The sequence below is a fragment of the Homo sapiens genome, chromosome 2 (assembly GCF_000001405.40).
Source record: "Homo sapiens chromosome 2, GRCh38.p14 Primary Assembly".
NCBI lineage: Eukaryota > Metazoa > Chordata > Mammalia > Primates > Hominidae > Homo > Homo sapiens.
Genome location: NC_000002.12, coordinates 15,610,670 through 15,637,618, shown reverse-complemented (window position 1 = coordinate 15,637,618; position 26,949 = coordinate 15,610,670). Strand labels below are relative to the sequence as shown.

The following is a 26,949-nucleotide window of genomic DNA, read 5'->3' as shown; positions in this document are numbered from 1 at the left end:
CCACAGCCTCTGTCAAATGTAATGGGAAATAATTCCTTTGAATCTGTGATTTGCTCAGATGAAAAAAAAAGGGAGTCGGGTAATCCTTAAGTGACCCCAAGTGGTAAAAATACACCAGCACAGTGTTCTTTGTGGGTATTCCTGTGACACTGGCGCCACCTGGTGCACTCAACTGGGAAATAATGAATCACAACCCCATGAAGGCTGGCGTTGAGGGGCCCCATGCATTTGCGTTATTTTGTAAGTAAGTATTCTCTTGGTGCTGGGTTAACAACAGTGGGAAAATGAATAATAATTTATGGGCAGAAGCACACGATAGAGTTTATTACAACCAATAGAATTAACATCAATATTTTAAGTGAACAGAATTTTATGATATGGGTATAAGCAAGCCAATGTCTCCAAATTGCTAGCCTTTAAGAGCCAAACAAAATACCTCAAGCTTTCAGCCTGTGTGTCTGTAAGTTAGCCAATTCTCTCCCCAATGCACCTAAGGATTCTTGAGAATGCTTACAAAGCCTGATTGCCACTAAGCCTGATTGTCACTCTTCTGAGCTTTAGACTACTACTCCAGAGAAGTTGCTTGTCCCCTCTTACCATTAGGGACCAATTTCCCACAGAACAGGATCCTAATCAGTTCCCACACCCTGTTCCTAGCATTACTTTGTCTAAACACAGAAGAGCTTTCTCTTTCATACGCAAGTCATACTGACAGACCTACTTGCCGACCTAGGTAGCAAACATCTGAAGGTATTAAGAGAATCACAATGTAGAAAAGGAAAATCAAAACTCATTATCAAACAACATTGCTCCAATATTCAACTGACCCTGTCCCTACCGGCCTCTCCTCTCTCTCGACTCCTGTTCTGATCAGGATTTTCTATCTCAGAGTGTCTTCCCCGAGACTCTAATCCACCACAAAAAACTGGAAACCCTTCACACCCAATTATTGCCCTGCAGAGAAACATCCTCTGGCTGCCTCTTCAAAGTCCTACTTTGGCAGCAGCAAATATTTATCCTTAAATTGGGATTCAATTCAAGGAAACACAAAACTAGCAACCAATCACAGTCTTTTCTGGTGAACAGAATGAGTTACCCAGCTGGAGAACAAGATGTGAGGTAAAGTATTGGGTTAAACCAGTGATTTTTAGAGTATAAACTGGTCCTATCTAAAGCAATGGCAATGTTTTAAATAAAAACAAAGTAGCAACGTCTAAAACAGAGAAAAGGCCAAATGGGTTTTGAAAAATTGAAGCATCCTTAAAAAGACTTGCCTCAATCCCCAAAGTGACTATTTTGAAGGGAATTAAACTCACTTGGCTACAGGTGAGTAGCCTCTGAGTAGACTACGGGTGGTGAATAATCTTATCAGTTTCTTGAAAAATTACATATGTTACAATTTCTATCAAAGTGTTTCTCTACAATAATCCCCACTACATAATATTTCAACAAGGGCTCCAGCTTGAGTCTGACTATATGTAACCTTAAGACACATTGGCTTGGATGGGTGCAAAGGACACAAGGATTTGCAATAGGACCAAGAAACATCTAGGGTCAGACTCAGTTTAAGGCAGCTGCTCCCAAGCCTGGCAGCACATTAACATCACTGAGGCCATCTAGGCCCCACTCCAGAGCAATTAAATCAGAATTTCTGGAGGTGAAGTGCAGACACCGGTATTTTCTTTTAAAGTATCCTAGGGGACCTTAATGTGCAGCTGGGGTTAAGAACCACTAAGCTAAGGAAACAGAACTCAAGGTGGACATCTTGGGTCCAAAGGCAGTGAACTAGGAGACATGATTCTAACACAGCAAGCATCTGTCTTTCAGACGTCATTTTAGATCTTAACCAAATCCTCAAGTAAAAGATTGCAGTGAGAATAAAAGCTCTAAGAGTTGTTTCTCTGTAACAGTGTGTCTTGAATTGTGGTTCAAGGTCCATCTGCATGAACACAATTATTTCAGGAATTTGTTAAAATGCAGATTCCTGGTTCCCACCTTATATCTAATGATCTCTGCATGTGATTTAGCTCTAGAAGTCAGTAACTATTGTTGGGATCAAATCCAGGCCTACCTGATGACTTGTCTTTCAAATTCCCCTCAATACTTTTGACCAGAAAGAGTGGAATCCATCAGAAAAAAGTAGACATTTAAATGAGTTTAAATGAAAGGTAATGATTTAAAGCAGTAGAATGGAAAACAACTGCAAAAATTCCCTCTCCACTCCTCCCTCCAAAGGAATCCTCTATCAATTACTTTGGAGTAGCAAAATAGTATCCCTCCCTTTCCTTCCTGTTCCACTACATTTTTTCCCTTCTGACACATATTCCTTTTTCCTCCCAAATAAGGTCACTTAGAAAAAATGCCTGGTAGGACTTTAGAAACTGTCAACATCTATAGAGAAATGATAAAATTACTGCAAGAGAACCTATCAGGGACCTCATTTTATATTTATCTATACTTTTTTGATATTTTACAAATCTCATTCAAATTGAAATAGTGTGTCGTTCCCTTTTAAGTCAGAACAAGGAGAGGAATGTGATTAAATAGCTTTACCCATTTGGAATTGGCCAGGAACCAACATTTTTTTTTTTAATCTGGGCAGTTCCCAGTCATTGCCACATGCACTTCTACCTTTAAAGACAAAAATTAGGAAATCAAAAAAAAAAAAAAAAAGCCTGCACCTTATTTAAAACAAGTCTAGGTCCCTGTTTATCTGATGATGGTGGGACCAGGAGTGGGAGCCCATGGGAGGCAAGAAGTTGCATGTAAGATGTGAGACTACCTCTACTCACCAGCACTAATTCACACACCATATGAAGAGACATCAGGAAAGCATACTTTGAGCGCAACAAACTATACTTCAGTTTGTAAAATAAATTGTACAGACTTCTTCCTATATTGTTAGTGTTAACGTCAACCAGCTCAACTCTTTCAGAAAGCAATCTGATGACTCTGAAAAATGTTCATAACATTCAGGCTCTTTAATTCAATAACTCAATTTCTAGGAATCTAGTTTAAAATAATTCAAAAGACAGAAGATGTTCACTGCAGCATTCTGTGTAACACAAAAAATGTAACTACTATAAATACAGTACACATGCCTCCTCATCTACTAGACATTTTGCTGAATGCTTAACATGATCCTGAATAATGTGAATTTTCACCATTTTCATAAAGAAATCAAAGCTTAACGGACCTTGCCTTCTGTCATATTTATAGTGTGAGTTAGAGCCAGATTCAAATCCAAGACTAATATTATAAAGTTCACATCCTTTCCAACTCCCCTCAATGCACCTGAGCAGTAAGAGTGCAATGGTTACACAAACAATAGTACATTCAATGTATTATGTAGCCACTATAGTATTTATAAGAAAAATGCTTATGTTAAATAAAAATACAGAATCGTATATAGACCAAAACATTTACAGAAAAAAGAAATGAACCAAAATGTTAGCGATGACTTTCTCTGGAAGTGGGACTATAAATAAAAAGTAAGGAGGAGTGGGGATTACTCTAGTCTGAAATTTCCATGTAACTAACAGGAAAAGATATGCTAAGAATGAGGTATAAATTAGCCACACGTGGTGGTGCATGCCTGTAGTCACAGCTACTCAGGAGGCTGAAGTGGGAGGACAGCTTGAGGCCAGGAGGCAGGAATTGGGGTGAGCCGAGATTATGCCACTGCATTCCAGTCTGGGCAACAGAGTGAGACCCTGTCTCAAAAAACAAAACAACAACCAAAAAAATAAAATAAAATAAAAAAAGGAGGTGCAGAAATGTTTTAGCAATCTCATAACAAAGACCACTAGTTAGAACCCTTTAGAATCAATTCTCTTAAGGCAAATATCCTAAGGCAATAGCATTTGGTCCCTTTATTTGGTTTTCTATGCTCTCTTAAATGAAATATAACTTGTTGCACTTAAATGAGCCTGTCCTAGTAAGGGACTCAAATTAGCAATACAGTAAAGACATAAACCTGAGTTAGAGCAGAACACTTAAGTTTATTAAGATATGAAACAGCCTTTCCCCTAAACCACTTCAGTCACTATGAAAGTCAAGTTCTAGCAATCAAAGCTTGAAGGTAGCTTTGACGAGAATGAACAGTCAAAGACTAGATTGTGAGTAAGAAGGAATGCACCGAGGCTCCTAAGATCTCAGGCCATGTCTATCATGTGTTAAAGTTGGGGCAAGTCTTGACATTTCTGTTTACAGAGGTTCTAAGACTGACATATAACTACAGACACCAGATCTGTGAGTACATTTAAAAATTCCTGCACTAAAGAATGGACAAGTGGAAGCTTTGAATCACAAATACTATCATATGAAGGTTAATATTTAGCATTTTCTGGACTTTGAAGGGCCTCTAGTGTTTTATATATTAGTTGGGGTAGAGGCTAAAGTTCTGTAACAAAGAGCCCTAAACATGAGCAGCTCAGATAACATCAAGTTATTATAACAGGCAGTTCGGAGAGGGTGGGCAGCTCTCTTTCCCAAGGCCACCAGGTTCCTCTGCCTTGTTCTGCCACTCCCCAAGTATTACACTTTTCTAATGGTGGCAATAGGCTCACTAATACCACATCCAAGTTCTAGCCTGAGAGAAGAGGGACAGGGTGGGCAGGACAAGGCCCGGAAGTTGTACACATCACTTTGACTCGTACCCCGTTGACCAGAACCTGGGAAAGGCAATCCCGAAGGAGGCAGGCAATTAGCATCCCTCAGGCCCAGTGACCACATCTTAACCCGACTTTTAACAGTTACTTGCATTCTTGGCATTAATACGATGGCCTGAAGGAATCAGCATCTGGAAGCAAGACTGAGAATAAAGGAAAGAATTAATGGTGATATGAGCAGGAAAAAAGAGCAAGTCAGGTCTCCAAACAACTCCTCGGCTAGTCTGGTTACATGTGGCTTCTTCCTTTGAAAACTCTTGTTCCCTGGGTAATTCCAGTTGGTCAGTAAGTAATTAAAGAGGAAAAAAACATCTCCACCATTGCTGAGCTCTATCCAGGATTCCTCTCTGGCCTTGCAATTTGGACCTGAGAGTCATCCTCCAAAGGTAGCCAGCCCAAAGAGTAAAAGCTGAAACTGAAGAAACCCGAGTTCTATTTCCAGTTCTAACCACCAGGCCATGTGAATGTGCATTCCTCTAAACTCAGCTTTCTCTCTCATAAAACAAGGGCATGAACAAGGTGATTAGAAAGATCCCCTCCATTCTAATATTTACATGTCTGAAATTCAGTCTTGTCTTTGCTGTCACATCAATTAAAAGTTCGTTTCTAAACGAGTGATTAATGTGCGTGAAGACTGCACAGAGCTGTCATCACATAGCTTTGAGATTGGTTATAGTAGTTCCAGGACATCTCCAAAGCAAGTGGTCTAGAGATAAGTGAAAGAATGGTATCCTCATAATCATTTCACACAAACCCTAAACTCAAATATACAAGACAATGATTTTCTCACTACAGCTTTTATCTGTTTATATATTGTTTCACTCAAGGTTTTTCATTGCTAAAAGGTTTGAAAACCATCATATAAGAAATTATAACACCCTGTGCTCTTAAGGAAACTCTTGGACAAGAATAATTTCCCCCAAAAAACTACCTTATAGACTAAGAGTCAAAAGGCACAAAGCAACAATTCAATTATATGTATTTACATTTTCCCTTTCCTTCTGATATTTTAGGCAAGAGCCAGTGTTTAAGAAAATATATTCCAGGGCCAGGCATGGTGGCTGACGCCTATAATCCCCGCACTTTCAGAGGCCAAGGTGAGTAGATCACTTGAGCTCAGGAGTTGGAGACCACCCTGGGCAACATGGTGAAACCCTGTCTCTAAAAAAGAAATACAAAAAAATTAGCCAGGCATGGTGGCGTGAGCCTGTAGTCCCAGGTACCTGGGGGGCTGAGGTGAGAGGACTGACGCGAGAGGATTGCTTGAGCCTAGGAGGTTGAGGTTGCAGTGAGCTGTGTTCACGCCACTGGACTCCAGGCTGGGTGACAAAGCAAGACCCTGTCTCAAAAACAAAAACAAACAAACAAACAAACAAACAAAAAAATAACCAACAAAAAAAACCCTGAGTTTAAGTTTGATTTTAAGACCTGTAGGGACAGCAGATTAGTTCTACTTTGATGGGTATGCATCATCTGGAAAGCAAGGTTCATAAAAAGAAGATACATCTTCACTGGCACCATCACATCAGTCATCAGTCCTTAGATACAGAACCTTTACTGACTCCCTCAAAACTTCCATGCTTCCAAACTAACCAAGCAGTTCTTCTACATTGGGATCATCGAATTTCCCTTCATGTTCCAACTCTCCTCTAGCTTCAATATACACATAGACAACCTTAGCCATCTGAAAACCTACTTTTAGAATATTCCCGAGTGGTTCCACGTAAGTCCTCTGCCAGATTCACATACCCATAAATTCTACTTCATAAGCCCATACTGTTCTTAAAAAAGAAATAGAAAAAATATATCAATATAACTTTAAAATAAGACACAAACCTTCATGAAAATATAGTCATCAAATTTATTTTCATTGGGATGCCATTTTTTGAAGAATTCCTAAGACTAATGTTTCTTGACATGCAAGAGTTAGCATTAATAGCTTACGTTACTATAAATACTGCTGCTTGGAAGCAGTACAACTGTTTTAGAGTTTTAAGACTACAGACTTTCATTACTCAAATCTTATTCAGTAAATGTAAAAATCAGAAGGTTCTGAACAGCTGGTTAGGAAGGTAGCCAAGATGCAGGAAAGATGTCTGCGCCTCCTTTTCAAGGGCAGCCAACTCTTGAACAGTAGGTGCCAAAATATCCACATGGCCTTTATAGCTTCCACCTGCATCACACACAAATAACAAAGTAATGTAAATGACATGCTTGAAATAACTTGTCAGCAATACTTTGGCTCAATTATATCACTTTAAACTTTGCTTGCAGCAATAAAATGTACTACTGGGCAAGTTATCTCCAGAACTTTGACTTTAAAAAATGTTAAATCAATTATTTCAATATAAATAAATAATTAGGCCTCACTAACAGCTGTCCCAACACCTCTACCCACCCTTGGCTCGGAAACAACTAGTTAGGCCTGAGTCTTACAATTTTTCAGGAACAAGCTAACAAAAGGGCATCCCAGGCAGAGGAAATAATATGCTGAATTACCACCTGAGTTAAGTCAAAGGCTTCTGATTCCTTGTTCAAAATCACCTATTATGCTCTTGTTTCCTACTAATTCCACAAAATGTTCAACTACTCTTATGACATTAACACTTCAAGAGAAAGAGCTAAGCTGAAGTCTTTCATTCACATAAAGATGACACAATTTAAAAATGCTACAAGGCAGGTATGGACAAAGTACTATGAGGGTAATAAGGAGGGAATGATTAACACGCTAAAAATATACTCTTAACCTAATGAAATGAAAGTACTGCCTTCCCAAACCGAAGTTCAAAACAGGTATATTTACATTTAAAATTGTATTTAAAATAATTCAAAGCTTACCACCAGCAGCCCTTTTCTGACCGTAGGTAACTTTCCCATCAAATTCATCCACTGGTACCTTTATATCCGGCTCAACCTGAGAAATGGTACAGTTCAGGTGTTCTTCTATCTCAGATAGTAACTAAGTAATGGAGAGAAAATTTCCAAATAAAAATTTCATTTAGAAAGAGTTGCATTTTATCATCATTAAATAAAGCTGGAAAGGCCAGAATGCTTGGTATAAATGGAAGTCAGATTTCTGAAGAGAGAAATTCACAACTTACAATTAGCAAAGTGCAGATAACATTATAACCAACTACGACTTTCCCTTATAAGTGACAAACAGATAAAAGCCAAGATATAATTTTTGAAGATAAATGCTTTCTATTCTACCATTTTAATACATTATTTGTGAGCCTAACTCGAAGTCTTACCTGCATCTCGTTGTACCATATGGTACAGCCTCCATCTTCCTTGAGTCTTGTGTTATAACACCCTTTTCCACGGCTGCTACATACATGGTACCAAACCTAAATTTAAAAAGGAAAAAATATTAACATGCATGGAGATAGAGACATGCTAAATATCTTATTCTAAATTTGTTTTTAATTGTTTTCTGTCCTCAAGGCACTAGAAAAATAGATTATAGGTATGATATATCATCCAATTACCACTACTATTCAGTAGCTCATTGAATAAATAGGTCTTCTGAAAAAGTTCTTTTTGAGAATAATCCAAAAGTTTTCCTAAAATGGGTGTCAGATATCAAAAGGAATTCTCAGATAAAAGTAGGATGAAAAAGTAAATATTGAAGCATACTATGTCAATATTAACATAAAAAAGTTCAAAAGAAAAATAAGTTCAAATCTTTTGTATAAGAGAATAATAAAGCAAATAATGCAAAATGTACAACTACTGAATTTGGCAATGAGTATATGGGAGCTCTTTATGAATACAACTTTTCTATAAATTTGTAATTATATCAAAATAAATCTCCCCTCACCATGAAAGGTCTTCCATGGCACCATGCCAGAAAATGTTTAAATATTTTTTGGTGGAAATGAGTACAATAAAGCTAGTTGGAAAAATTATATTTTGCATTTTTCCTTTCTAAATTTCACCCTATTATTTGTCCATTCAATGAATATAGGAAAAAAGATGACATTAAAAAGTTCATTTGTATTCCATACGCAGCTGAATTAAATTTAAATGGGAAAATCAAACTGCTTTTATTTCCAACATCTAAAATCACAACACACACAATGAATATAATAGAGCCCTACAAAGATTACCTTTTCTTTTTCTGTTGCCACCAGGGAAATTGCCAGACCCATCCTGAAAGATGGTTAAAAGCCTTCTATTAGACTTTATTCCTAAAGCATACAAGCTTAAAAATGGGGGAAAAAAAATTGCAGAAGTACCTTTCAGCTCTTCCTACTCTGCCAATTCGATGTACGTAGTTTTGCTTTTCATCGGGCAGAGTGACATTTATAACTATAAATAAAAACCATTATTAACAATTGCCAGTAGTTTCTAAATTTTTCAAACATATTAGAAGGCTTTACTTTAGATTCCGTAACAATCACACTACAGGCATAAAAAGTTGCTTTTTACCATAAGGAACACCGTGGATATCAATTCCTCTAGCAGCTACATCTGTGCAAATCAAGAATCTTACATCTCCTTTCTAAAGAGAACAGTGAAGAGAGAAAGGAGTTTGTTAGCACATATACTAAACAATAAAAACAAATGCTATCCTTCCACTAAATGAGACCTCTAAAAACTCAAGTGTTACTATCAGATTAGAGGTCGACATACTCCTAATTTACTGGACCAAGTCTTGAAGTTTTATGTCATGATCTGCTGAAACATGACATTTAAGGTGATTAAATCAGAGATTGGGTTCATTTTTGCTTTTCTTTTTCTACTCAAAGATATTAAACTATTGCTAAAACTTGGCTTAATCTTTATAAATATCTTTAGAAATTGAAGAGAAAGACAAAACAGAATACAATGTACAGACATAAGCATTATCTTTACTCTTAAATTCAAATAAACTCAGAATACTAGATATTTTACCTGGAGGCTACATTTTTTGTAACAGACAAAATTCTCAAGGGGAGGAAAATGAGGGTAGGCCCCTGGTGCTCACCAAGAAATACAAATTAGCCTTTCAATGTCATTTGTGCCTCAAGGCACAGCAAAATTAGAGATCTGGGGGAGGGAAGAAGGGTATACTGACTTATGGTCCAGAAAAATGCCTACGGTTGAGAAGGGTAGCACACATTCAAACGAGGCCATGCGATGTGTTTTCACATCTGCATCAATTATGCCCAGCATGGAAACGTAAGCCAAAGTTCTTCAACCCAATACTTCCCATCTTTTTTCTTAGAAAATGATACTTATGCTATACACTGGGGCCTATTAAATTAATGAGACTGCTTGCAGGTAGACAGGTTACCGATCTTTAGTTCTAAATGGCTCAAGCCATTTACTTACCCACCCACTTACACCAAGAGCTATATGACCCGTTCATGTGCTGCAAGCATATAACTGGAAAGGTCTGCCCCAAACAGTATCAAAATACCTTTAATTCTACATAGCCATATTCTGATACCTGTCTTAATTAATCTACAAATTAAGTTCCTTATGGCTATTGCTGGAGACTGTTTTTAAGGCACATAGACATGGCTTAACTATCCAATGATACTTCTCCTAAAAATATCTACCTGAAATAATTTAACTAAAATTTCTGAAATTGAAAATTCCTGTTATAGTAGTGTTATGCTGATAGAGAATGTATAATTTACCATTTGAGTGTCAACAATGACTAATTCCTGTCATGATGATGACACATTAGTTAGGGTAGAAACATTTTGAAATTTCTAGGACAATAATTGCTTTAATAATATTAATTAAAACTGCTTAAAACTAGATATAATGCCCCTCTTAAGTATTAAGGAAACAATCAACTATGTATCAGTACCTTAAATCTTTCCAAGTTTTGCTTTCTCTCATGAGGCTTTCTGTCACCATGAAGACAAACACATGAGAACTGGTGTCCTTTTTTATCAGGTCCTAGTGAAAAGCACATTAAGCATTTAACCTTGGAAAATCTTCTGCCTAAGACTATGTAAAAAAGCCAATAAAATTCAGACTACAATAGTGCCACACAATTCCATAAAAATCTATGCCCCAACTTGCTATAAACCATGGTTAACACAATTTATGTCACAAACGAAGTACCATTAAAATGAACTCTACGGAGCATTAAAGTTGTCCTGCTTTTAAGGGCATTTTAAGTCACCCTTCCCAATCTGTAGGAGGAGTGGATCAAGCAGTGTACCAACTAAAATGCCTATGTGTACACCAGGAACCTCACTATCCTCCATAAAGCTAAGACTCAAAAAGTAGGCAAAAGAGATCATTCTTGGAGGAACCAAAATTAAGCATCATCAAGTTAATGTGCTTCCTAAAAGGCCATGCCCATAAGCCTGCTCTCTTCTCAAGGTATTTTAAGCAACATAGTTATCTAGTTTCATGGCCACAGAAGATTCAAAGCAGCAAACTGTAAAGATGGAGAGGTGTTATTTTAGAGGCAAGTGCAGTGGTAGCCAACCCCCCAAAAGAAAACTCTTCAAGTAGACACAGTAACAAAAAGAGTAACCACTGGGATGTAACAAAATAACAATTATGGCACTTAACTATTCTCCAAGGTAAATTAAGTTCAGTAAGTATACTTGAAAATTCAAGGAAACAATACATTTTGACAGATATCTATTCAAAATGAATAACACAAAAATTAATTATGCAGAGGTGAAATAACAGCTAACCAGAACTTCTAGAGGTATACAGCTGAGATTTTATTGCATCCTGCATTCAAGTGGTTTAGGGAAGTATCAAATACACACTATAACTCTCTGGTTAGGGTATGTGTGGAGGGGAGAGGGATCCTTTGATCCCTTCTTTTAAACCCCTGTAATCTGGTATATATTGTGTTTGAGTGTTAGTAATGGTGTAATAAACTTGTTTTCTAGGCAGAAGTAACATCTACATCCAGAATATTTAGGGAAGGAGCATCAAAGTAACTAAAGGGATATTACTACTTAATCAACAGTACTCCTTACTACATAATCAACTCCTCCATTCAAAACATAGACAGGAAGAAAATTAAGTACTACAAAACAGTCACTATAACAACCAAGCAAGTCTGTTTGCCAGGACTTGAAAAAAAAAATGTGTTACTTAAGCACTCACTGTAATGAACAGTGTAATGTATTCTTTATATGACCATTAGTTCAAATATTCTATATCCTTCTTGAGTTTTCTATTTCCTTGACGTACATCAGTTATAACAAAATGTGTTAGTCTTTCCTCAGTACAATAATGGGATTTGTATGTTACCTTCTATATCTGCCAATTTTTACTTTTTATATTTTTCCAATATTTATATTTTCAAACACGTAGCAACACTGAAATAATTTTAAGGATGAACAGTTGTATATCCACCACCTAGATTCAACAATTAACATTTTATTATACTTGCTTTAACCACATATCTACCTATACCTGTATCCATCCATCAACTCATCTTCATATTTTTGTACATTTCAATGTAAATTGCAGACATCAGTACAGAGTTCGGCATGCATATAATTAACTAGAATTCAATATTTGTTTAGTTTTTTCTTTTGAGGTAAAAGTTGTATTCAAGAAATCTACAAATCTTAAGTAGATTTGCTGAGAAAGTCCCATTAGGATACAGAACATCATTATCACACCAAAAAATACCCTCATATCCTTTCCCAGCCTATCCCTACTGCCACCCTTGTGGGGACTACTACTGTTCTGACATTTTTTCCATCACAGATTAGTTCTGACTTTTTAAAAATGTCATATAAATAGATTGATACAGTGTATATTCTTGAGTAAGAATTCTTTCATTTGGCATAAGGTTTCTGAGATTCATCCATCATTGCTGTGTTTACTCAGCAAGGAAAAGTCTGTTCCTTTTCACTGCTGAGTAGTATTCCACTGTATTTCACACTTTATTTATCCATTCTCCTACTGATGGACACTTAGTGTGTTTTCAGTTTTAGAATATTATAAATAAAGCTGCTATGGCCATTCTAGCATCTTTTTGTCAATATGTGTTTTCATTTATCCTGGGTAAACATCTAGCAGTTTAATTGCTAGGCCATAAGACAGCATTTTTAGCTTTATAAAAGACTGCAAGACCCTTTGCTAAAGTGCTCATACCATTTTATATTCTCACCAACAATCTATTCTCAACAACTGTATGCAGTTGCTCCACAGCCAAAATTCGGTGTTGTATTTTTAGTTTAGCATGTACAACGGTATTATACTGTCATTTTATTTTGCATTTCCATAACAACTGATTGAGAATTTTTCCATGTTGGTTTATGATATAATTTGGCTGGGTCTCCATCCAAATCTCATCTTGAATTGTAGTTCCCATAATCCCCACATGTGGGAGGGACCTGGTAGGAGATAATAGAATCATGTGGGTGGTTATCCTCATGCTGTTCTCGTGATAGTGACGGAGTCCTCATGAGATCTGATGGTTTTATAAGGGGCTTTTCCTACTTTGCTTGGCACTTCTCCTTCCTGCTGCCATGTAAAGAAGGACGTGTTTGCTTCCCCAGCTCTGAAGAACTGTGAGTCAATTAAACCTCTTTCCTTTATAAATTACCCAGCCTCAGGCAGTTCTTCATAGCAGCATAAGAACAGACTAATACAGTTTACATTCTCGAAGTTATAAGAAGCATAAAATCTGAACCCTTATACTTCCATTGTAGCTTGGATATTTTATTACATAGTGACTCTTTATTTCTAGTAATATTTGTCTTAAAGTCTACTGCAACTCTTATTAATATAGCTAGACTGGCTTTCTTTTGGTTAATATTTTAGCTGACACATGCATAATATTTTTTCATTCCTTTTCCATCTTTCTATGTCCTCAGATTTTGGGTATGCTCCATGTAAACAGCGTATTGCTAGATTTCATCCAGTCCAACAATCCATGCTTTATAACAGAAGACCGTGTCCACTGATACTTACAGTGTTTACTCATACATTCAGATTTTTCCAACATTGATCTTATTCTATAATTTCTAACCATAATTTTTCTCATTTTATTCCCCTTCCTTTCTTGCTCTTGTTTAGGTTTTTTTTCCTCATTCCCCTTTCCCCATCTACTGGTTTAAAAGACATACATTCTATTATTTCAGTGATCATATTTTAAATTTTAAGACTAATAAATTACTTTATCCTTCTTCCATATAATATAAAACTCTTAGGATGCTGTGATTCAAGTTTACTGTAATGAAAATGTACCTACGTGGAAAATTCTCTCTTGTTTTTCCTAGGGCTTATCATATGGAAAAGTACTGAATAAGCATAGATACTTAAAATATGCCATCAACTGCTTTAAATTCTGTGCATGTGTTCTAGATTGCATCAACATGAGATTAATAATCTATTACAAGAGGATATAAACACAATTTATTTCAAGTGAGAAAAAATTACCTCCTCCTTGTTGTATAAAGTACTGCTCCAAGTTATCACAGTCAATTTTGGTTCTACAGAAGATAATTGCTTGATCCATCTTATGTTCCTTGATTGCCCGGACAGCATACTCCCCTTTCAGGATTTTAATAGCTTCAGACCACATCTCTTGAATATCATAACAACAACAAAAACCAACAGAATTTCAATCTGAACTTGTCATGAATACACATAATTATAGTCACAGACTGACTGCTTAATTTTCCTAAAAAAGAATACTTGTTTTAATAAAAGTATTATATATAGATAAGGACAAGAAGTAAAGATAGAGTAAAACAGTGAGTTAAACCATTCATTCATTTATTTTTGTTTCTGTTAATATTTTTTATGCTACTTTATGGGGTATATAAACACCCATAACCGTACCCCTTATGAGGGAACACACACATACACACGTACAAATTAACAGAAATACATACAGCAAAACTGTTATCTCTCATGAAGAACAAATCATATTCTGCCTTGCATGAACTTCCCTAAATGCTCAATAAATGCTTTATACAATTATTTTAACTCCTTTTAAAAATAATTAATGTACTTTCTAAATCAATCTAAATACCAGAAAGTTCATACTTCACTCTACGCAGTAAAAACCTTAACACAAAACTCTAGTAATTTTTTAGTCACCATCCTCCAACTCTCTATTTTTCAGTGTGAAGCTGTGCTATAATTGTTATTCCTCAACCACTGAATGTAAGACTTTAATTCTGTGACCCAACATATTTCTAAGGTCTCTCTGATCATCTCTAATTGTTAGTCTAAACTAAGCAAAACTTATGCAAGAAAAATATAAGAAGCAATAAAAACTGGAATTTTATAAAATGCATTTGGGATGACAGATTTTCAAACAGTGTCTCTGCTCTTCTCCAACAATAAGGATAACTAAGTATGTGTCTTGTTAATTTAGACCTACATATAAAACTGAGTTCAAATCTTTAATCAAGATTTCAGATAATTCACCATTTTGATATAGTTGAAATTCAACCATGAAGCAAGCAGAGTCCGACCCTCACCAATGAATGATCCACCTGAAACATCTCATGTCAGACATGCAGCCTAATGGGTTTAAGATCCATTCTTCTAGGTTTTCTAAGCACCAACCTTGTATCATGATGTACCTTCCTATATTTTCAAAACACTATTTAACCTGAAACAAAGAGTCTCAGCTCTGCAAAGAAGAATCTTCATTGAGGCGGAATTTAATGTTAGGCTTTTTAAAAATTGATAAATATTTAATGATACAGATTTTCAGTTTAAGAAGATGAAAAAGTTCTGGAGATGGACAGTGGTGATGATTGTACAACAATATGAATGTACTTAATGCCAATGAACTGTACACTAATAGTTAAAATGCTAAGTTTTATGTTATGTATATTCTACCACACACAAAAAAGTCAACAACTATTTCAAAACAATTTCAGTATCTTTTGCAAAGCTATAGCTAAAGAAAGTTTTCTTTCTTATGCAATATTCCTGATATGAGAAACTTACATGATATTTCTTATGGAATTCAGGGTCAATATAAAATAATCTCTCTAGAAAAATTCGCTGTTTTCCTATGATGAGAATTAGATAATCAAAAATATTTGTGGCTGGGTGCAGTGGCTCACGCCTATAATCCCAGCACTTTGTGAAGCCAAGGCGGGTGGATCATTTGAGGTCAGGAGTTCAAGACCAGCCTGGCCCACATGGTGAAACCTCATCTCTACTGAAAACACAAAAATTAGCCAGGTGGTAGTGGCACGTGCCTGTAATCCCAGCTACCCGGGAGGCTGAGGCAGGAGAACTGCTTGAGCCTGGGAGGCAGAGGTTGTGGTGAGCCAAAATCGCACCAGTGCACTCTAGTCTGGGTGACAGAGTGAGACCGTGTCTCAAAAAAACAAAAAAAAAAAAAGTGATTTAGATGCCAGGAGACTAACATCTAAATTCAATGATTAAGGCCAGGCATGGTGGCTCATGCCTGTAATCCCAGAACTTTGGGAGGTCGAGGTGGGAGGATCACCTGAGGTCAGGAGTTTAAGACCAGCCTGGCCAACATGGTGAAACCCCATCTCTACTAAAAATATAAAAAAATTAGCCAGGCATGGTGGCGGGCGATCCCAGCTACTTGGGAGGCTGAGGCAAGAAGAGAACTGCTTGAACCCGGGTGGCCGAGGTTGCCTTGAGCTGAGACTGTGCCATTGCACTCCAGCTTGGGTGACAAGAACATGACTCTGTCTCAAAAAATTAAAAATAAATTCAATGATTCATATTCCTCTAAGTTGACTAGTATCAGCTTTTCCCCATTTCTTTTTTATTATTTTTGTTGCCTTTATTTCCAAATTTCCTGTTTTAATTTTGCAGGTCACCTCACATCCTTCATGAGAATAGGTAAGGTATAAATTTCATTTTCAAAATCTTTCAACACATTTGACTCTTTTAACTCACCTGGACTATTAGCACCAGGTCTTGTGTTATCTTTTGCATGTACATCATCAGTCTATCAAAAGCAAGGAATAAAAACAGGATAGAGGAGTGGTTAAATAATGATTCAGAATATATGTCATGTTTTAAAAGGGAGATTTATATTTGTCTTTAGACTGTATTTCAGATATATGTCTTCATAATATAATCTGTAGGCAAAATCATTCTTCAGATTCAGAAAAACCTTTCATTAACTATAGGTCTAAGACCACTTTTAAAGGTAATAATAATAATGAAAATGTGGTTTCTAAAATATTGTATATTTATAATAAATATAACCTTACTATATAAAGGCAAATCTAATCACAGTGAAGAAAGTGACAAGATGACCACATGAAATTGATTTTTAGAACAAAGTACATCAAGAGGACACAGATGAGGGCTCCTACTAAAATACTACTAAAAATGGAAATCATTGTATCTGAAATTAGATAAATATATGTTATTTACTTATAAAGACTGTATCAAGGAAGCTGATCACAAAAGTAATATTACGAAGACAGAAAAACAAAAGATGGAGTCCATCACTTATTCAGTGCTTTTTAAAGGTCTAAGGGTTTACGATGTATTGGACTTTTCTTTGATACAATAACTGATTGCCTTAAGCATCACTAAGAGCCCAAGGCTGACCTAGTTTATAAATTGCTTTATTCTACATAAATGTTAATATTATAAACCACTTACTCTAATGTGGCTCTTTCCAAGCCTTTCCCAGAGTCTGTCAGTTTTGGGATTTACTGGGACAACAACATGGTGTACAGTATCTGGAACAGAGTCTTCTCCTTTTAAGTCAACCCATGTAGGAAAATGCATTATCTTCTCGGACAGTTTCTTTACATCGAAAGAATGCAAAGTGGCAGAGCAAACAATCACCTAAGAAGAGGAAACCCCAAATTGAGATGAACTTTTATAATAATAATTAATAAATCACACAAACACTGATATGAAACACAAAGTGTGCTAGCCTAGACTCCAAAGATAAGTTCAACACCTTACTCTATGTAGCGACAACTAGAGTTATGACTTTGGGCAGGTTAACCTCTCTGAGGTTCAGTTCCCTCACTGTCACATAGAAATCATGCCATCTCTTCCTCACGTCCCTACAAAAACTAAGTAAAATGAGTCATTTTTGTAAGCCAAAAATCCTGTATTACTGTCTGTCCCCTTCTCTCAAAAGCTTGTCCTTCTTAAATGCTTCCTAAGAAAGAAGGATATAACTACAGAGAAGACAACAATTTTTCAATAGCTGAAGTTATTTTTCCTTCGAACAGGCAACAGTACTAATAATCTGGAATACACACCCTAAACGGTCTACAGGACAAAGTAACTAAGAATTTTTACTTGTAGTTTTCTGCAACACCCAAGTAATTTCCTCAAATTTCCTTCTATTTCTAAAAGCAGCTTTTAAGACTGTTACCTTTGAGTATACTATTTCGTCCAGTAACGTAAAGCAAACATTTTACATAGTAATAAATTTAATGAGAGGGGACCAAACAAAAACCCTTTGACCCTGCTCATAAGCATTAATGATGGCAGCAACAGGCCGTCAGGAGCAGCTGCTGCCATCAAGCTGGCTGCAGCGGGGAGACATGAGCAGCGGCAGCAAGAGAGGCTGCAGGAGCTGCAGTGGTGGTGGTGGGTTCCCTGTGCCCCGCATCCCCAAGGCAGCTGACTGGGCCACCCCAACCTTCGCGAAGCTGGGCAGGACCCGCTCCCAGGCCCAGAGTCTCCACCACTCTGGACCCTGGCCCCGTGTTGCCGCTCTTGCCCGCCACTGCTGCGGGGAGGGCACAGAGAGGAGGCGGACAGTCTCTAGAGTCCACCCCTGGGAGGACCCTGGAGCCCACTGCCCTGGGAGCCACCTCAATGGGGCTGGGCCGAGTCGCCTGCCAGAGGGGGAGCAGTGAGGTTGGGCACAGAGGGGCAGAGAGAGAGGAGCCCTGAGATGGAGCTGGGCCCAGGGTGGTGGTGGGAGCCAGGGCAGGCAGGAGCTCCACCATCCCAGGCATGGCTGCAGCTGCCCAAGTTATGGCTGCGGACCCAGACATCTCTGCACTCGGGGGGCCCTAAAAGGCCCTCCCTTGCCCCCACAGGTTCGGAGATGTCTGCTTCCACTGCCTGGCCTCTCCCTGCTGTCAACACCCACTCTGATCACAGAACAAAGTTAAGGCCGAGGTTGGGCACTGTCTCAAGCTTGGGCCAGCTGGGTGTGCACACTTGAGGTAGCATTGATACACCAACCCACTGCCACTTTGGCCCCTTCCAGCCTTTGGGCGCCAGCGAACACGGAAGGAGGGCCAAGGCAGGCTGAGGACGGCCCAGTGCTGGCCTGCACGTGTCCCTTGGCATGAACAGTCTGGGCACCATGAACAGCAGCAGGAGGCAGACAGGCTCCTGGGCGGAAGGGGGCTAGTCCCCGGTGAAGCCCCACCTTCAACTGGGGAAGACCTGAAGCCTCGGGGCCTGGCCACCAGCCTCACAGAGAGCCGGTGCCCATGCCAGTGCCTGGAGCTACCCGCCCTGCCGCAGCCAATGTGCCTGGCTGTGTGCCATGGCCAGACCCCACGTTCGCTCATACACGCCTCACCACTCCGCGCCTGGCTCACCCTTGGGAGGCATGGGGTCCAGGCTGGTAGTGAGAGCTGAGCACAGCCTGCCAGGCCAAGTGGGTGGAACTGAGCAAAACCCGGGCAAGGGCATCACTAGCCGCAGAGGTTTCCAGCCAGAAAAGCAACACCCCCTGGGATCCCGTAACATTATACATAACAATTGTTTACATGCATTTTAAGATGCATTGATAAATTTTATACCTGAAGTCTTTTTCCATCAGAGGTAACCTGAGGAATCTGATTGTGCATCCTATTTATAAAATCAGAATAACCTTGAGAAAGAAGCCCATCCTGCATGAGAAACAAAGAATAAATTAAGTTTTTAATCAGTATGGAAAAAAACGTAAGTTTTAATCAGTATCAAAAATCTTTTTTCTAAATCAAACAAAATATAAGGAAACTAATTCATGCATATACATAGTCCTATATTTTCAAAATTATTTTGTTGGATAAAGATAATTTATAAATTCAATTTTAAGTTTCTTGTGACTAAAATATGAAAAAGTGACAATAAGCAATCCAAAACCATAATCTAATAATCTAGAATGAAAATTTCAGTCAACAGCTTCTAACATATATCCTTCAACAGACTTTTCATATAAAAAATTAAAAACCCTCAGTGCTGAGGAACTAGGTAACCCAACCTGAAAATGATTTGGAAGTATGTCTAAGAGACTCAAACACATTTATGTCCTTCCAGATGGTCTACATTTTGTATCTCTGACACAAGGAACAAATTTATAGTATGTAGAAAATGTATGTACAAACAAAGCTGGTTATTTGGAGCAAAAATCAAATCTGCCTACATACCTAGAAATAAGAGTAATTAAATATACCATGAAGTAGCCATATAATAGACCACTAGACAGCATTTATAAATTATGTACAATTACAGGAAATACTTATGACATTACATTTTTAAAATTTTTCCCAGATTCCTCATATCTTGATTTCAACTACATAAAATAATATATAAATAAAAAGTATATGAAAATATACCAAACTGATAACAATGATTATCTCTAGGTAGTAGGATCATGACTGAATTATATTTCTTCTTCATTTTATATATTTTATCTCAAAAAATATAAGTAAACTTTTTAAAAAGTATGATTATATTTCAACATACAGCTTCATCCAGGACCAGGAATCTAACTTGAGATAAGTTCAGCTTTCCAGTTGACACCAAGTCATCTAGTCTTCCCGGAGTACCTACAACTATATCTACCTGAAAAAAAGCAAACCAACCACTTAATGAAAACTAAAGAAACAGTATAATTACGTTAAAATAGCAACCAATAACTGTCTTTTTAATAAAAACATGCATATTGAAGTAGTCAGTCAACTCTAAATTTATAAAAAAAAAAAAGGAGTTACAGATAATGCCATATGTTCAACTGATACTTGGTTTGAAATTAATGTGAAGATTTTGACCAAAATTGATTTTGACATCCTTAACTGATATACATTCTAATGCATAAAATTTATATTTTCCAAGCAAAAATCTGATGAATTCACTGGAACTCAACGGAACCTAGAGTTCAAGTCCCAGTTCCACCACTACTCTGCTCTGTGACCTTAATTTATTTAATCTCCTCTAGTACCAATTTTCCCATTTTTGAATTGGGGGAATACCTTCTCTTTTTCAAGATGGTTGTGATAATTAAGAGATAAGATGCGTAAAGCACTAGACGCAGAGTGTCCCAGGTGCTCAATAAATTTGGTTATAGTTAATAGTAATGGTGATCAGACTGTCCAGGAAAACAGTAATAGTTACTATTTGTCAAGTACTTATAATGAACAGGCACTCTGCAAAATGTTTTACAAGTACATGTTTTATTTCATGTTACCACTAAGGTAAATACTACTATAATCATCCCTATTCAATGAGAAAACGGAAGTTTAGAATACTAAATAAAACTTTTCAAACATACATAGAAGAGAACAGTGAGCCTCGGTGCCAGTACAAACAGTTAACATTTTGCATTCTCCCACACATATCTTGTAGTCAAGTCCATAGGTATGGTGATTAGACACACAGGTTTCAGAGTAAAGTTCTACCTATGAGTTGTATGATCTTAGGTAAGTTACTTAATATTTGATATAAGCCCTCTTCTTAATCTGTAAAAATGGGGAAGAGTACCATCTCAGAGGATTATTGTAAGTACTGAGTAAGAACATGTTATGTTTTTAGTACAGTGCCTGACCCATTTCTAGAAAGCAGTCAATAAAGATGAGGTATTTTTAAAGTGTGTATATGGGCCGGCGCGGTGGCTCACGCCTGTAATCCTAGCACTTTGGGAGGCCGAGGCAGGCAGATTGCCTGAGCTCAGGAGTTCAAGACCAGCCTGGGCAAAATGGTGAAACCCCGTCTCTACTAAAATACACACACACACACACACACACACAAAATTAGCCGGGCATGGCGGCGTGCACATCTAGTCCCAGCTACTCAGGAGGCTGAGGGAGGAGAACTGCTTGAACCTGGGAGGCAGACGTTGCAGTGAGCTGAGATCACACCACTGCACTCCAGCCTGGGCAACAGAACGAGACTCCATCTCCAAAAATAAATAAATAAATAAATAAAAATATATAAAGTGTGTATATGATGTATTTATGTGAGCACAAATAAGGTATTACATAAGATCATTCAGTAAATCAGACAATTCAAAACCTCTACTCCTTAATTGGCAGGCATTAAAAAACAACACTTCCATTCTTTTTTACCTGTTTTCTCCACCCTGTACTAAAAATATAGTTTTCTATTAGCAAAGTTATTCCTCTAGTTCCATTACTTCAATATCTCACCCCTCGAATAAACAGAACTTTTAACTTGATCCAATATGAGGCACTTATTATCCCATGAAAAATAAAGCAGACATTTCTGAAGCTATTGTTTCATCTGCACTGATAATTACAGCAAGTTCAACCTAGAAAATATTGTCTGAAAATGTGAAGATAAAATCTGTCCAATGTATTAAGAATCTACTATGTGCCAAACACTGAGACAGGTGCTGTACACAGCAGTGAACAAAATACCATCTGGTTCTATGACATCAGTTTAGTACAGTATTCTAACCACGTGAGTTTCCTCCTTCCGAATTTCAGCAGGTAAAGTGGGCATGAAGACAGACACAAGGCCTCTCAGGGTTTTGTTTTGTTTTTTTAAGTCAGTTAGATCAGAAAAGCCTGTGAGACATCTTTATTTATATGACCTCAGTGGCACATGTTGCATAATACCGTAAGACTAAAAGATTAGAAAACTAAAATTCTTCTACTCTCATTGCCAAGCTGACTTCTGCCCCAGCATAAGACCCAACACAGGGCTAAGGCTGAACCAGAGTGTGGTGGAAGATAACAGAAGCAGAGAATGTAAGACAGAGAGAAGAACAGATAAAGATCATATTAGATCCCCTAAGAAGTAGAGTAGAATTGAATTCTGCAAAGAATGCTCTGGTATAACACTACCTTTCCAATTGCTTCAAGTTAGTACCAAATTTTGAGACATCCTGATGAAAGCAGATTTAATTCCCTAAAAGCTCTATAAGCTTTAGGAAAATAGGAATTGAGAAACATATTATCTTATGGGAAAAATGGGTTTGAGGAAGCAAGATTGGGAATAAACTTATTAAATCTCTCTTACAACCACTAAAATAAAATAAAACACACTAAATGTTTCAGCTCATTTTCTGCTGTTTTAACAGAATATCACAAAGTAGATAATTTATAAAGAAAAGAATATTTGTCACATTTCTGGAGGTTTGGGGAAGTTCAAGAGCATAGTGCCAGCAGCAACTAGTGAGGGTCATCTCATGGCAGAAAGGAGCAACAAAGAGAGGAAAACGGGCCGAAACTCCTGCAATAACTAACCCGCTCCTACAGCAAAGGCATTAACCCATTCATGAGGACAAAGCCCTCGCGATCTAATCATCTGTTAAAAGCCCCCGCCTTCCAATACCATTATATGGGCAATTAAATTTCAACATGAGTTTTGGTGGGGACATTAAAACCATAGCACTAAATAAAAACATATCAAAGCAATATTACTCATCTTAGAATAGTATTAACAAGTATGGTAATATGATTCCTTGCTCTTAATATGGCATACCAGGTCAAATGTAAAGTCTGTGTGGCACAAAATTTAGTTTGACAAGAGCACCAATGGAATTGGAGAAAGGACACAATTGCTTGTCATGACTCAATATCGGATGGTTTAGCTTTAATGATTAAATATTTAGGAAAGGAAATAAAAGAGAAATTTATAAGCTGTAAGTTATTTCACACACGAAAAATATTTCATGAAGTCCTACCTTCACAGAACTGATAAACAGTTAAAAATTTCCTAAACTTCGGCCAGGCGCAGTAGTTCACTCCTGTAATCCCAGCACTTTGGGAGGCCAGGGCGGGTGGATCACCTGAGGTCAGGAGTTCAAGACCAGCCTGGCCAACATGGTGAAAATACAAAAAAATCAGCCAACATGGTGGCGGGTGCCTGTAATCCCAGCTACTGAGGAGGCTGAGGCAGGAGAACTGCTTGAACCCAAGAGGCAGAGGTTGCAATGAGCCGAGAACATGTCATGGCACTCCAGCCTGGGCGACAAGAGTGAAACTCCTTCTCAAAAAAAAAAAAAAAAAAAATTCCTAAACTTCTTCTCCAACAGTGGAGATCAGATCCTCTTAGCTTTGTCCTTCGTAATGGCATGGCTGAGCACAGCCTTTGCGACTTCCCCTTACACATAATTGAACTCATGTCTCTCCTCACTGGAACTATTACCCACTGTCTTATCATTATTCATCCTTCCCAAGAGTCACTGCAGGAACTTCTATCCTTCTCTGCAATCTATTTTACCTCTACTTTTGTTCTTAACTCCAGTTTCTTCTTTTTCACTTATCTCCCCAAAAAGAATGACTCTTTACCCATGAAGGCCAGAAGGAAATTCTCAAATGTTCAGAGGGTAAACAACAAAAAATCATGTATGCTGGAATTTTGCTTGAGAGGTCTGGGAGAGACTTTGTATACTTCCAGGAGAAGAAAAGGCGCACTTGCAAGATGTCTTTGAACAAACATACTCCTCTGACCTTGCTCTAATTTCAGCCTCACTTAAATTTTCTTGAAACAAAACAGAGCTGTATTGCTAAAACGACAGCCCATGACATTATGTTTTAAAAATTAAAACTACAACTTACTCCATTTTCCAAAACAGAGAGCTGATCCCGGGCTGCAACACCTCCAATTATCAGAAGCTCCCTGAAATAAATATCAAGATGATAATATAAAAAAAAAAAAATTAAAGTCTGCTTTACATTGTTTGATCTGCATCCATTTATTTTAGGTGGAAATTAAGGTTGAGAAAGTAATTGAGGAAAAAAGCCTACAATAAAACAAGTCTGGGGGAAGTTACAAAGGTTACACGCTGCCCTCTCCCTCCCCCTCCCCCTCTCCCTCTCCCCACGGTCTCCCTCTCCCTCTCTTTCCACGGTCTCCCTCTGATACCGAGCCGAAGCTGGACTGTACTGCTGCCATCTCGGCTCACTGCAACCTCCCAGCCTGATTCTCCTGCCTCAGCTTGCCGAGTGCCTGCGATTGCAGGCACGCGCCACCACGCCTGACTGGTTTTCGTATTTTTTTGGTGGAGACGGGGTTTCGCTGTGTTGGCCGGGCTGGTCTCCAGCTCCTAACCGCGAGTGATCCGCCAGCCTCGGCCTCCCGAGGTGCCGGGATTGCAGACGGAGTCTCCCTCACTCAGTGCTCAATGTTGCCCAGGCTGGAGTGCAGTGGCGTGATCTCGGCTCGCTACAACCTCCACCTCCCAGCCGCCTGCCTTGGCCTCCCAAAGTGCCGAGATTGCAGCCTCTGCCCGGCCGCCACCCCGTCTGGGAAGTGAGGAGCGTCTCTGCCTGGCCGCCCATCATCTGGGACGTGAGGAGCCCCTCTGCCTGGCTGCCCAGTCTGGAAAGTGAGGAGCGTCTCTGCCCGGCCGCCATCCCATCTAGGAAGTGAGGAGCACCTCTTCCCGGCCACCATCCCATCTAGGAAGTGAGGAGCGCCTCTTCCCGGCCGCCATCCCATCTAGGAAGTGAGGAGCGTCTCTGCCCAGCTGCCCATCGTCTGAGATGTGGGGGGCGCCTCTGCCCCGCCGCCCCGTCTGGGATGTGAGGAGCGCCTCTACCCGGCCGCGACCCCGTCTGGGAGGTGAGGAGCGTCTCTGCCCGGCCGCCCCGTCTGAGAAGTGAGGAGCGTCACCGCCCGGCAGCCACCCCGTCCAGGAAGGAGGTGGGGGTCACCCACCGCCAGGCCAGCCGCCCCGTCCAGGAGGGAGGTGGGGGGGGTCAGCCCCCCGCCCGGCCAGCCGCCCCGTCCGGGAGGGAGGTGGGGGGGTCAGGCCCCGCCAGCCAGCCGCCCCCTCCGGGAGGAGAGGGGAGCCTCTACCCAGCCGCCCCTACTGGGAAGTGAGGAGCCCCTCTGCCCGGCCAGCCGCCCTGTCCGGGAGGGAGGTGGTGGGGTCAGCCCCCCGCCCGGCCAGCCGCCTCGTCCGGGAGGAAGGTGGGGGGGTCAGCTCCCCGCCCGGCCAGCCGCCCCGTCCGGGAGGTGAGGGGCGCCTCTGCCCAGCCGCCCCTACTGGGAAGTGAGGAGCCCCTCTGCCCGGCCAGCCGCCCCGTCCGGGAGGGAGGTGGGGGGGTCAGCCCCCCGCCCGGCCAGCCACCCCGTCCGGGAGGGAGGTGGGGGGGTCAGCCCCCCGCCCGGCCAGTCGCCCCGTCCGGGAGGGAGGTGGGGGGGTCAGCCCCCCGCCCGGCCAGCCGCCCCGTCCGGGAGGTGGGGGGTGCCTCTGCCCGGCCACCCCTACTGGGAAGTGAGGAGCCCCTCTGCCCGGCCAGCCGCCCCGTCCGGGAGGGAGGTCGGGGGGTCAGCCCCCCGCCCGGCCAGCCGCCCCGTCCGGGAGGGAGGTGGGGGGGTCAGCCCCCTGCCCGGCCAGCCGCCCCGTCCGGGAGGTGGGGGGAGCCTCTGCCCGGCCGTCCCTACTGGGAGGTGAGGAGCCCCTCTGCCCGGCCACCACCCCGTCTGGGAGGTGTGCCCGGCAGCTCATTGAGAACGGGCCATGATGACAATGGCGGTTTTGTGGAGTAGAAAGTGGGGAGAGGTGGGGAAAAGAGTGGGAAATCGGATGGTTGCCGTGTTTGTGTAGTAGGAGGTAGACATGGGAGACTTTTCATTTTGTTCTGTACTAAGAAAAATTCTTCTGCCTTGGGATCCTGTTGATCTGTGACCTTACCCCCAACCCTGTGCTCTCTGAAACATGTGCTGTGTCCACTCAGGGTTAAATGGATTAAGGGCGGTGCAAGATGTGCTTTGTTAAACAGATGCTTGAAGGCAGCATGCTCGTTAAGAGTCATCACCACTCCCTAATCTCAAGTACCCAGGGACACAAACACTGCGGAAGGCCGCAGGGTCCTCTGCCTAGGAAAACCAGAGACCTTTGTTCACTTGTTTATCTGCTGACCTTCCCTCCACTATTGTCCTGTGACCCTGCCAAATCCCCCTCTGTGAGAAACACCCAAGAATGATCAATAAAAAATAAATAAATTAAAAAATAAAAAATAAAAAAAAAAACAAGTCTGGGGAAGGTGGGAAACAAAGCAGTTAAATCCCCGTAGCTGTATCTATTGCTGAAGTGCGGTAAAGTCACGAAAGAGAATGCGTGAGCTTGTAACATGGAAAAAATTATTCTCATCTACATATTCTTCTACATTAGGATAATTCAAGGTTCTTTAAAACCTGGTTTCAATCTATGTTTTCAGACATA

General features: G+C 39.9%; 1 protein-coding gene across 1 annotated transcript in view, besides 1 other annotated feature; it reads right to left on the bottom strand.

Moving 5' to 3' along the window:
* Positions 1,608–1,808: a silencer, noted in NCBI's record as "peak3608 fragment used in MPRA reporter construct". NCBI's record gives its function as "represses an SCP1 promoter by STARR-seq MPRAs in K562 erythroleukemia cells {active_cell/tissue: K562}" and the evidence as "EXISTENCE:reporter gene assay evidence [ECO:0000049][PMID:32103011]".
* The window catches only part of DDX1 (DEAD-box helicase 1), a 39,234-nt gene continuing 18,802 nt past the window's right edge, over positions 6,518–26,949 (bottom strand). Inside the window, exons 14-26 of the mRNA NM_004939.3 lie at positions 24,335–24,395; positions 20,277–20,375; positions 19,349–19,438; positions 17,223–17,411; positions 16,503–16,554; positions 14,037–14,183; positions 10,474–10,565; positions 9,102–9,174; positions 8,909–8,981; positions 8,780–8,822; positions 7,922–8,017; positions 7,509–7,629; positions 6,518–6,843 (exon numbers count right to left, since the gene is read on the bottom strand). Of these exons, the coding sequence (NP_004930.1) occupies positions 6,713–6,843; positions 7,509–7,629; positions 7,922–8,017; positions 8,780–8,822; positions 8,909–8,981; positions 9,102–9,174; positions 10,474–10,565; positions 14,037–14,183; positions 16,503–16,554; positions 17,223–17,411; positions 19,349–19,438; positions 20,277–20,375; positions 24,335–24,395 (1,267 nt within the window). The 3' untranslated portion in view covers positions 6,518–6,712. The remainder of the gene's footprint in view (positions 6,844–7,508; positions 7,630–7,921; positions 8,018–8,779; positions 8,823–8,908; positions 8,982–9,101; positions 9,175–10,473; positions 10,566–14,036; positions 14,184–16,502; positions 16,555–17,222; positions 17,412–19,348; positions 19,439–20,276; positions 20,376–24,334; positions 24,396–26,949) is intronic.